Consider the following 13105-nt stretch of genomic DNA (forward strand, 5'->3'; position numbering starts at 1 on the left):
ATCTTTCCACCTACTACCCAAAGGGGCTGTTTCTGGTGGCCCTGTTAACTTTGGCAATATGAAGACCCCATGAGACAATTACACTGACCTGGTTTCCATCCGACCCAGGCCTTCACTGCTTCCAGGGCATCATTCTTATTGCAGACCATGTGAATGCCAACCCATGGAGCTCAAGGCCATCTACATAGACCACAATTTAAATACGTGGAGCTGGGCAGTATGGTAATGCCAGGGCACATTAGGTGGCAGCCTAGCTGGGGACCCTTTCCTGGGCTTCCGGTTCTTTGTAGCCCTTTCTTCCTGGTGGAACCCAATACCTATGGTAGACACACACTCATACACCACCACCACCACCACCACCACCACCACCACCAGAACCTTCCCCATTCCTAAATATTCTCCAAGGTAAAGATGCATTTCTATAGCTTCTCTAGAGGAAACAGAGCCCAGCACTTATTCCCCGCTGCATGCTGGTGTCTCTCAGGACAGGGAAGTCTGCTTAGACTGGCCGGTGCCAACCTGCACTGGCACTGCTTAGTAGGCCAGTGCCAACCTGGGATTCTCATGGCTGTGTGCTCTGTGCTCACCCACCTGTGAATCACCGGGTGGTACAGAGTGACAATCCATCAGCTGTTAAGATAAGATGAATGCAAAAAGGATGACATTGCCAAACAGACTGTTGGGTTATTTGGAGGTATCTGTATGACAACTCTAACCCGAAATTTCATATTTGGCACAGCCATGGCCTGTGGGGATGGCTGGCATTCTGGATATGTTGGAAACAGCACTGGTTAGACATGGAGCAATGTCCAAGTGCCAGCCCCACTCATCTGCTACACGTGCTGTGCTATTCTGCTTCACTCGCACAAAACTAGACTGCAGCGCAATATACCGGCTCATCCTTGTGTGGTTCTCCAGCACTCACGGGCAATTATTTCTCCATTTCTATGTGTTTTAAACCTGTTTTCTCTCCGACCTGTCAATGAGAGCATGAACCTTTATGAACCCCACCTCCCTGGACCCTCTTGATAGGTTTCGTGGAAGTGGAATCATTCTAAGAAGCAGTGAAGGCAGGGTGCTGTTTTCTGCTTTCACAGCTCTGTGGGGGTGGCTGCTGCTCACCATGGCATCGGAAGGGCGTGGCAAGAAGAAAATCTATGATTGGTCAGCTCTGTATCTGAGGCAGTTTTAGGGACAGGCCCTTTCATGTGGCTCGTGCTAGTGCTCTGTACACTGTGCCTGGGTATGTTGGTTCTCGGATATGCCCAGCTTGAAACCAGGCTCCTTTTCTTGGGGGGATGAAGGTCCTGTCCCCAGCCTCTTTGCTCTGATTATGGTGGGTCTTCTGCCTGACGCACACAGGAAACCCATTCAGTGTCCACAGTGACCTCAAGTCCACTCCTGGAAACTCAAAAGCCCCCAGCATCTGTAACCTCTCGGTTGCTGATCTCTACTTAATGCAAACTCCCACTTGGGCTCCCATCTTGACTTCCACTTCCAGAGATTTCTGAGACTGACTTCAGGCTTTGTCCTGAACTGTCTTGATCAGTGTCCTTGACAGACTCTTGTGTGCTATACAAGAGAGCATTACTAATTCCTACATTTTTCAAATTGTGTGTCATGGTTCCATGTGGGAGGGAAAAAACAGATTTTGTGTTCTAATATACCCATGCATTTTGTACATGGGTACAAGAAGGGGGTAGGGTAGGCAATTTTCCCAAACTTATTTGACCACATATCCTTCCTTTTTGCCAAATACTGATTAGTACCTTCAGAGACACAATTGTTCACTGACTAATGCTTAGGGAAATGATGACATTTATATTGTTTCTCCGTTGTTTAACAACATAAAAAAGGAGATTCAAACCCTTAGGGATTTTCCTGCTCTCAATTCAACATTTCCAGAGATTGCCCCTGCCTGAAATCACTTGCTCACAATTACTCCCTACTAGCAGTTAACAATCACTATGCAAGACTCTCACCAACTCTCTGACATTATTTCATCTCCACAAAGCCCTCTTAATTCACTTTAGGATCCATGATCAGTCCTGGAAACAAGGAAGAAAATGGTGTGGCTAGAGTTTGGGACACTTACTTGAAGGAGTCAAGAGCATCGCTGACTGCATTGGCAAAATTGATATCCGTTGGGACATTTTTATATTCTAGGCAGTAGGTGGGTCTGACACCCAGAATCTCAACCTCACAGCCTGAGAAGGAAAAAGATGGCAAATAGTTACTCTCTTCAATAAGTAATGTCGAGTTATGAGCCTATTTCAGGAAGCAAACACCATTAGTCAAAATCAAAAATAAAAATGTTGAGTATTTTTATGAACTAAAATAACTTATTGCTAATAAGTGGTGTATTTAACTGTAATTTTGCATAACCAGAGCAGAGGTTCTCAAATGTCATTCCTATGCAACACTGGTGTCCCACATCAGAGACTGGCAAAAATTAGACCACAACTGTCTTTCCCAATTTGAAACAAAACACAATTAATCAATATACACAAATACCTCAATTGAAAATTTCTTCAATAGATTTTTCATGAATCTAAGTCTTTCATGAAAACAAAGTCTTCTAGTGTACTTTTGCCTCTTCTAGAATCAAGTATTAGGTAGCATCTGATTAGTCAGAGGATTATAAAATAAATATTTTACTATCCTGTGGCATTATACAAAAGCTAACTGGACTTAGAGGTACTCTGCCAAATTGGCAAGCTAAGAATCAGTGAGTTCAAGCAATGGGGTCTGAGCCGTACCCTTGCCTGGCCCAAAACAGAGTGAAAGAATCAAACTCATTCCGATGTGAACAGACTCAGCTTTTCTGCCCCAGACTCCTGGACAAGTAGAAGTAGTTGCTCTGCCGAGAAACACCCATCCATATTAGGGAACATAGAACAGGAGAGGGATGTGCCCACCTTGGTTTCTGCTAGTTGAGTAAATATTTATTGGGCATTTACTATGACCGAGTCACTATGTTCAGACGTACTGGAAACAGGAGTGGATCTGGTAGGGTCTCCTTCCGGGAGCATCCCAGAGTTTAGTCTAGTGGGAGGGGACACAGGAAAGTGTGTGGTATGTGAAGTCTAAAGGGAGGTGCATGCTTCCTGGGTGTTGTGGGAATCAGATGAAGGGCACTGACTTCAGGCATCACTTCCTCCTGAAAGCCTTCCTCAGGTCCCGATGTTGGGCTCAGTTTTGTAGATTTAGCCACGGCAGTGGGATGCAGGTGGGCTGGGAGGAAGTCCCAGGCAAAGACAGCAGCTTGACCAAGGGTTCAGAGAACTTCTGAGCAACACTGTATGTGTAGAGAACTGTAAGTACCATAAAATGCCAGACAATGGTGCCAGGAGACCAGATGCTGCTCTTTCTTGTAGCCCAGGGAAAATGATTTCCAAGGTGAGGTAAGTAAAAGTGGGGCAGAGGGAGCGCAGGAGGAAAGGAGGAAGGAGTCCCTGTCAGGAAGCACATCAACCCCACCCCTGGGTACATCTGCCAGCTGGTTACAGCTGATTTAAAAGATGACAGGGCAGCCTCCAGAAAGCATCCCTTCATCTGGCATACTATAGCAAGACCTGGGTGTGTCATGAGAGACCCTATTGCTTTCTGCTTGATATGTTGGATTCAGGGAGAGCAAGGGCTCCTACAATCACTGTGACAGAACTAGAAAAGCAGGAAGTTTCCTTTTCCAAAACATGTTTTTTGAGAGGGAAAAATAGGCTAGGTGACCCAGAAATAAATACTGCTCATGACTTCCAGGAAAATATTCATTAGAGTAAGAAATGTCAGTGGAATCTTGAATGACTATATCACTTTAGATACCAGTGTTTTATCTGTTGAAGGTGATTTGTGAATTGTTATTGCTCTCTCAAAGCTATTTTTTCTGTATCCACCTTGTGCTCAGTGCCAGAAACCCCAAAGCAAATAAGATATCACCCACCCTTTAAAAGTTTAACAGTCATGTACAGTGTGACCAGGTGTCTGCTTCTAGCATCTCTGACACATCTGTATGTAAATTGTAAGTAATGCAGTATGACCATGGTTTTGCAGATAAGAGAAACGCATCCTTTTTGGTGTTTGCACATAATATAAAACTATAAATGTTTTTGGTACGAGCAACAATAAATATGTTTGTTAATGTTATCAAACAGATGTTCTCTTAATACCTTTACTTAAATAAAATGAATCTGGACTTAACACTGGCACAGTAATACAGTTCACCTGAGTAATTTGCCCTTGCCTCAGGTTAAAGTAGAAAACAAACTTTTTTTTATTGATTAATTACATGTAAAATTCTACAGTACAGGTAGAGGCAGTATGTGTCAAAGTGGAGCTGTTGTTATAGTGCTATGGACTTCTGTATTTTCGAAAACTATAATTAATTTTAATTTAAACAAACATCATGGCAGCAGCCTACCGTGGCTACCTAGGCTAAAGGTAGGATAGGAGAATCAAGAGAAATTCCCCCAAAGTACACAAACTCTTCACTGAGTGCAAAGCAACAGTTTTATCAAAGACTAAGGACATACATCAGAGTGGAAAGGGATCTTCCAACTTGCAGAAAGCTGTAGACAATGCTGGAGAGAAAAAGAATTCCTCAGTGACCCAAGAAGTTGGCAGCATGAATTCTCTATGTAAAGCACTGGACAAATTGCAAGACTTGCTAAAGTGATCGTCCTTATCATTTCTCACCTGTGACACTAGTGGAAAAATGAATCTAACTAAATCTTCAGGAAAGCGCAGACCCAGCTCAGCTACAGATTAGATTGATTTGGATGCCACCCTAGAGGAATGAAATAGGAAGAAATATGGTCTTTCTGGGGAAAATATTATTTACCATATTATCTCTATTGTTCTTTCTCACACAATGTCCAACATACAATAAAAAATCATGAAACATGCTAAAAACAGTAAAACGTGCCCCATAATTAAGAGAAAAAATAATCAACAGAATCAGATCCATAGACGGCACAATTGTCAGTGAGAAAGGTTAAACATAAAATACATTTTTAAAAAAGATTATTGACTAAATCAAAATTGATAACAATATATTATGGACTTTACAACATACGTAAAAGTAAAACATATGACAGTAAGAATATAAAAAGTGCATATGTGGACAAATGGCATTATATAATAAAATTTTGAAACTCATGTCATTTGTGAATATTATTTTAAAGTAGATGTAAATAAGTTATAGATGTGTGTTGAAATGTCTAGAATAACCATTAGGAAAAAAACAATAAAATCTAAGATTAATAAAGAAGATATGGTAGAATTCTAAAAGTACTCAATTAGTGAAAAAAAGATAGGAAAGGAGAAACAGAGGAACAAAAACAGTTAAGACAAGTAAAAAAACAGTATGAAGATGAGAGTTTTAAACTCCAAAACATCAATAATTACATCAAAAATAAATGGACTAAATATGTTATTTAAAACGCAGAGGTGGGTCAGGCTGAATAAAAAAGCAAGACCTGAGGTCAGGAGCTTGAGACTGGCCTGGCTAACAAGGTGAAACCCTGCCTCTACCAAAAATATAAAACTAGCCAGGCGTAGTGCTGTGTGCCTGTATTCCCAGCTACTTGGGAGGCTGAGGCAGGAGAATCCCTTGAACCTGGTGGGTGGAGGTTGCAGTGAGCTGAGATTGAGCCATTGCACTCCAGCCTGGGTAACAAGAGCGAAACTCCATATCCAAATAATTTTTAAAAAATCGTTAAGCCTAAGTGATAACTATTAAGGTAGTTATGTGAAAATATTTTATGGAAGAATAAGGTGTATACTTAGCATTTTTAAAGTAATAATCTGGGTCTAAAGTTCCAAATTATGTCAACAGAAATTGGGAGAGAGTGCCAGGGAAGGAAGAGAAAGCATTTTCATTGTTGATGAAGGGAAGGGATAGTCAATATATAATGTTTCATTCTAGATATTGATTTAAAAGATTTGAAAATACAGAACAGCATAGCTTTTGAGTCATCAAGGAAAAAAACAAAAAAAATTGATCAAATATCAAAGTACATATAAGTGAATAAAAGGAAGCAACCAGGAAGCATTAATACTGAATGAATAAAAAAGGAGAAAACCAAATTTATTAACTTCAAAATTATTGTGAATAGATTAAATTCTACTTTTTTTTGAGGCAGAGTCTCACTCTGTCACCCAGGCTGGAGTGCAGTGGCACGATCTCGGGTCACTGCAACTTCCACCTCCCGGGTTCAAGCAATTCTCCTACCTCAGCTTCCTGAGTAGTTGGGATTACAGGCATATGCCACCATGCCTGGCTAATTTTTGTATTTTTAGTAGACACGAGGTTTCACCATGATGGCCAGGCTGGTCTCAAACTCCTCATCTCAAGTGATCTGCCTGCCTCAGCCTCTCAAAGTGCTGGAATTACAGGCATGAGCCACCATGCCTGGGCAGTTAGCCTATTTTTAAAGAATGTCAAGATGATGTAAGAAATAAAATCCAACTTTATTTACAAAATGCACATTTGAAATAAAATGACACAGAAGAATAGATATAAAAGAATGGGCAAAAAAAAAAACCTACACACACAAAGAAATCTTGGAAATATAACGTGCAAAATTGCAACTTGGTGGAAAACTTTCATGACAGTTCAAGACATAAAGAATAAATACAAATCTAGAGGATTTGAATGTTAGTATCAATAGGCTGGATTCAATAGATATTGAAAAGTTTATCTTATTAGCATAGAATGTGCATTATTTTCGAATATAACTGTTGAAAAAACTGATCATATTCTGGTCAAAAAGAAAATCTCAGTAACTTCCAAAAAGCAGAATTTTTGTAGGCCACAATTGCATACTATCTGATCATGGGTAATAAAATTAGGAATTAGTCATGATAATTAACCACCAATAAATCTAACTGCCTATAAATTAAAAAGAAACCTTTATGTAACTTGATGTAAAGAGGAAATGAAAACTTCACCGACAGGCTAGTTATTAACAACAGTGAAAACTCTACATTTTTCAAAACTTCAAGGGATGCATTTTCATTTAGGTGAGAAGCAAATCAGGAATGCTATCATCACCATGGTAATTTATTATTACTGTTCTAGAACTTCTCGAACAGGAAAAAGAAATAAGAAATGAATGCTGGAAATCAGGAGGCATGTAAGCGTTCTTCTATTGGAAAGTTTTGAAAACTTTTTGTCTGTAATCCGTGGAAAAATGCACTGACGTAGTACACAAACACCCCCCCAACATACACACACACACACACACACACACACACACACACACCAGAAACAAAATTTCACCAAATTATAGGCAATGTACACAAATACTTTCTTCTTCTATTCTGTTCTGTGTTTTTAAAAAAATGCTTATTAGCATTCCATAAGTACGTTTCAACTTATGGATCAAGTGAACTCCCATCCACTACGCATCAAGACCTGTGTTTGAAAAATACACCTAGACATGGATTTCAGGGTCACTGTTACCCATTGAGACTAAGGTTGTTGTGAAACTCAGACAACTTCTATGGTCTACATGCTTTGCCTAGCAAATCACTGCTAGAAACATACTCTAAAAAATAAAGTTGTATATACAAGCATCTTTATTACAATATTATTTATAAAACTGAGAAGCAATTTAAAGATTTGATAATAGAGGTATGGTTAAATTATAGCATATCCACATAATGAAGTAATATGCAGGCGTTAAAATAATTATGCCATTTTATTTAGTGGCATAATATTTTGAAAGAAAAAAGCTACAAAATAGTATATAACAGATGATCTCCTTTTTGGAAGTATTTAAAGCAGGTTTATGTCCAAAAAAGAGTAGAAGTAAATACAACAAAATAGAAGAAAGGACACAATTTCAATGACTGGTTTGGCAGACTTTTTTTGGTTGATTTAAGTGATTCTAAACTCCCTTCTCTGTTTCTGTTTTGTCGAATATAAAGAGGAAAACTTCCTCACTTCCTGAGGTCCCCTTGTGGGTAGGAATTGTCATTTGACTTAGAAGTGGCATTGAGATTGGGTGCGGAGCTTAGGGTGGGAAGCTTTGCTTCCTCATGAAAGACAAGGTGTGCTGCTGGCCAAGCTACTCTCTTCTCCAGTTTGGAATGCGGTTGTGAGGGCAGGATCCCTGGGTCTGCAGCAGCTGCCTTGAAACTATAGGGCAACAAGCATGAGGATAAGCCGATGTGCTGACATGGGCAAGGGATATAAAGAGCCTGGGTTTTGGCCGGGCGCGGTGGCTCATGCCTGTAATCCCAGCACTTTGGGAGGCCGAGGTGGGTGGATCACGAGGTCAGGAGATCGAGACCATCCTGGCTAACACGGTGAAACCCTGTCTCTACTAAAAACACAAAAAATTAGCCGGGCGTGGTGGTGGGCACCTGTAGTCCCAGCTACTCGGGAGGCTGAGGCAGGAGAATGGCGTGAACCCGGGAGGCGGAGCTTGCAGTGAGCCGAGATCACACCACTGCACTCCAGCCTGGGCCACAGAGCGAGACTCCAAATCAAACAAAACAAAACAAAAAAAAAAGAGCTTGGGTTTTAAAAATGACATTGGTCAGTGTCTGAACCACATAAAGCACTCCTTGTTATATGATACAAATCAATTCCTTTGTGTTTATCCAGTCTAAACTACATTCTATATCATTTGCAGCAGACAAGTCCTAACTGACAAGAGAGAGAGAGTGGTGACTTTCTATTCTTATTATTACTTATCTTAATGGAACTAACTTTTCTAAAATAAATGTTGCTTTTGTCATAAGGAACCAAAACTTATTTTGTAGTGTTAATTTCCAACTGCCTTGTAATATGCCAATTAGGACACAGAAGTTCCGTTATGTGACTGTATCACTATTTATCTATCCTAAAGTTGTTGAACATTTGGGTCATTGCCAGTGTTCAAATATAGTAGATAATGCCGACAGAAACATTTCTGTACACTTTCTTTGGTGCTCATAGGTATGCATTTCTGTTAGGATACACGCATTAAGAGAAGAGCTCGATTTGGGGAACGTATACAGTCAACTTTATAAGATAATGTCAAAGAGTTTTGTAAAGCTATTGTTTCAACTTGCTTCCACCAGCACTTACTTTCTTTCTTTCTTTCTTTCTTTCTTTCTTTCTTTCTTTCTTTCTTTCTTTCTTTCTTTCTTCTTTCTTTCTTTCTTTTTCTTTCTTTCTTTCCTTTTCTTTCTTTCTTTCTCTTTCTCTTCCTTCCTTCCTTCCTTCCTTCCTTCCTTCCTTCCTTCCTTCCTTCCTTTCTCTCTCCTCTCTCTCTTTCTTCTTTCTTTCTTTCTTTTCTTTCTTCTTTCTTTTTTTTTGAGATGGAGTCTCCCTCTGTCGCCCAGGCTGGAGTGCAGTGGAGTGATCTTAGCTCACTGCAATCTCTGCTCCTGGGTTCAAGCGATTCTCCTGCCTTAGCCTCCCCGAGTAGCTGGGACTACAGGCACCCATCACCATGCCCAGCTAATTTTTTTTTTTTTTTGTATTTTTAGTACAGATGAGATTTCACCATGTTGGCCAGGCTGGTCTTGAACTCTTGACCTCAGGTGATCCACCTGCCTTGGCCTCCCAAAGTGCTGGGATCACAGGTGTGAGCCATCACGCCCTGCCTCTACCAGCACTTTCTAAGACTCAGTTGCTCCATCCTCATCAACACTTGGATTTGTTGGTTTTCAAAATTACCCATTTTCCATTTCAGTGTCTGTGACTATCAAGAGTCTGTAGAGAAACAAGGACCAATAGAACACACACACACACACACACACACACACATATATATATATATAAAGAGGTATATTATGAGGAATTGGCTTCCACAATTATGGAGGCTGAGAAGTCCCACCATCCGCCATCCACAAGCTGGAGATCTAGGAAACCTGGTGGTTGTAATTCAGTCCTAATTCAGTCCTAATTCAGTCTGAAGGCCTGAGAACCAGGAGAACTGAGAGCAGAAGATGGATGTCCCAGCTGAAGCGATTAGGTAGGAAGGAGTGACCCCTTCCCTCCTAAGCCTTTTGTTCTATTCAGGCCCTCAAGGGATTGGATGATGGCCACCCACATTGGGGAGGGAAAAATACATTACTGAGTCCACTGATGCAAACGTCAATCTCAACTGGAAACCCCCAACAGAAACACACAGAAATAATATTTAATCTGGGGACCCCTCTACCCGTCAAGTTGACACATAAAAATAACCATCACAGTGGATATGATGAGTTCTCACATTGTAGTTTTATTTTGCTTTTTTTTTTGCTACCAAGGCTGAGTGTCTTTACATATGTTTATTGACCATTGGGATACCCAATTATGTAAAGTGTTAGCTCATATTTTTCTATTGAGTTGACTTTTTCCTTTTTATTTATAGGAATTGTGCATATGTTCCAGATATCAACTCGTTGTTTGTTTTATTTCCTCATACTTTGTAATTATTTTTGTCCTTTCTAGTAATGTCTTTTCATAAAGAGAAGCTTCTAATTTTAATGACTTCATCAGTCATTTTTCTACACTGTTAGTGCTATCTTTTCCTGCTTAAGAAATATTCTTCTTATCTAAAGTCATGAAGATATTCACCTATGTTTTCTTTCTTCAGTTCCAAATTTTTCTAAACATAGAAGCCTTATGTTTTCCATTTTACGTTTAGATCTACAATCCATCAGGAATTACCTAGAATTAATTTTCATATATGGTATTAGATAGTCAGAAGATGTATATATAGATACACATATATACATATATACACACATATATATACATATATACATATATACACACACACACACACATATATATATATATATATATATAAAATCTCCAATTGATCTATCATAATTTTTTGGAGACTATCTTTTATCACTTTGTGGGAGTGTCACGGTCATAAATCAGGTATTGGATCATATGTTTGTGGGTTTATTTCAGGAATTTCTGACCTTTACCCTTAGTCTATTTAACTATTCTTGTGGAAATACAATTTGTCTTACTTTTTGTAGTTTAAAGTAGGTCTGTATCTATTAATGGAGTAAATCTTCCTGTTTTGTTCATCTGACTCCAAATAGTTTCAGCTATTCTGGAGTCTGCACTTCATATAAATTTTAGAATCAACCTGTCAATTCACACACACACACACACACACACACACACACAGTTGAGATTTTGATTGGGATTACAGTGAATCTGTAGATCCATTCTGAGAAAACTGATAAAATACTAAGACTACCAGTTTATAAACATGTTTTTCCAATTATTTAGGTCTTTTTACATTTCTCTAAATGCTTTTTGATATTAAGTTCTTGAGCCATTTTTATTAGATTTATTCTTACATCTTTCACGTATTTGAATTTACTATAAATGGTATTGACCTTTTAATTTTTTCTCAGTTTTCTGTTGATACCAATACAATAATTTTTAAATTTTGAATTTATATCAAAATGCCTCTTATTAATTCTAAAAGTGAATTCTTTGGGGTTTTTCCAAAACAGTCATCTGTGAATAATGACAGTTTTTTGCCTTTTTAATTGTTTTATCCCTGTCATCTTCCCCTGCTCCCCCGAAGGACCCTCCAGTTCAAAGCTAAATAGAAGTCATGCTAGGAGGCACCCTTACCATAGTCCTGAACGCATTTCTCCATAAACTATGATGTTTGCTGTCATTTTTTTTTTTTGGTAGATATCCTTTATCACACTAAGGGTGCAGTGTACTAATTACCCAACTTTATTTTAATAAATCTAGTTTAGGATTGTATCAATTGCTTTTCATGTATCTACTGAAATGATTAGATGATTTTCTCTTTCATTCTATTACTGTTGTAAATGATATTGATTGATTTTTTTTTTTTTGAGATGGAGCCTCACTCTGTCACCCAGGCTGGAGTGATTTTTCAATGTTAAACCTGGGTTTTCCTTTTATAAACCCAATTGGTTGGCATATATTATTCTATTGATGTATTGATAGATTCAGGATGCAAATACTTTGTTTCTAATTTTTCTATCTATGTTCATGAAAAAGGTTGTCTTGTAATTTTACTTTCTTTAATGTCTGTCACATTTTTGTATCAAGATTACACTAACCTCATTATGGAAGTGATTTATTTATTTATTTATTTATTTATTTTTAGAGCTGGTATCACACTATGTTGGCCAGGCCAGTCTTGAATTCCTGAACTCTGGGGATGTTCTTGCCTCAGCCTCCCAAGTAGCTGGGATTACAAGTGTGCACCACCATGCCTGGCTTGATTTATCTTTATGCATTCTCTGGAAGAATTTCTGTAAGATTGTTATTATTTTTTCCTTAAATGTTTGAAAACTTCACTAGTGGAGTGTCTAATACTGGGTTATTTTAGGAATGGTTTTTAAAGACTTAATTTTAAAACTGATACAGAAGTATTCCAATTTTCTATTTCTTTTTTTCTGTTTTGGTGATGTTTCCCCTAGCAATCTGTCTGTTTCATGTGTGCTTTCAAATACATTGGTGTAACATTTTCACACTGTATTACTGGCTTTTTACGGTCTACAGGTTCTCTGTTGATGTCCCTTTTTTCATTTTATTATTGGCTATTTGTGTCTTCTCTCTTTATTTCTTTATAAGCCTTGTCAAGTTTTCATCCACTTTAACAGTTTTTTTTTCCTGAAAACAAATGTGGCTTTGTCAGTTTTCTTTGTTGTATGTTTATTTTCTATTTTATTCATTTCTGCTCATCATGATTTTCTTCTTTACATTTGGGGATAATTAAATTTGCCTTGAATTAGAGACAAATAATTACTTTTGGTCTTCTTAGCTAATGCATCTTGTATGCCTGTTAATTTCCTTTTAAGGATGGCTTTAGCTGCATTCGTCTTATGCCACTACATCATAAGTAGCATTTTTACTATACCTCAGTTCAAGATTTTTCTAAGTTTTCACAATTACTTCTTTGAATCAGGAGTTATTTAGAGGTCTGGTTATTTTCCAAATGTATGAGGATTTTTTTATTTTTATTATTGATTATTGTTTAATTACATGACAGTCAGAGGACACATTCTGATGATTTCAGACCTTTTCAATTTGTTGAGAAAGGTTTTATGGCTAACATATGACCATTTTTGATAAATATTTCATGTATACTTGAAAATAATGTTCATTCAG

General features: G+C 38.3%; 1 protein-coding gene across 1 annotated transcript in view; it reads right to left on the minus strand.

The window, feature by feature from the left end:
- ENPP6 (ectonucleotide pyrophosphatase/phosphodiesterase 6) overlaps positions 1-13105 on the minus strand; it is a 129168-nt gene that overhangs the window by 33360 nt on the left and 82703 nt on the right. Inside the window, exon 3 of the mRNA NM_153343.4 lies at positions 2096-2207. Within this exon, the coding sequence (NP_699174.1) occupies positions 2096-2207 (112 nt within the window). The remainder of the gene's footprint in view (positions 1-2095; positions 2208-13105) is intronic.

The sequence above is a fragment of the Homo sapiens genome, chromosome 4, assembly GCF_000001405.40.
Source record: "Homo sapiens chromosome 4, GRCh38.p14 Primary Assembly".
Classification (NCBI taxonomy): Eukaryota; Metazoa; Chordata; class Mammalia; order Primates; family Hominidae; genus Homo; species Homo sapiens.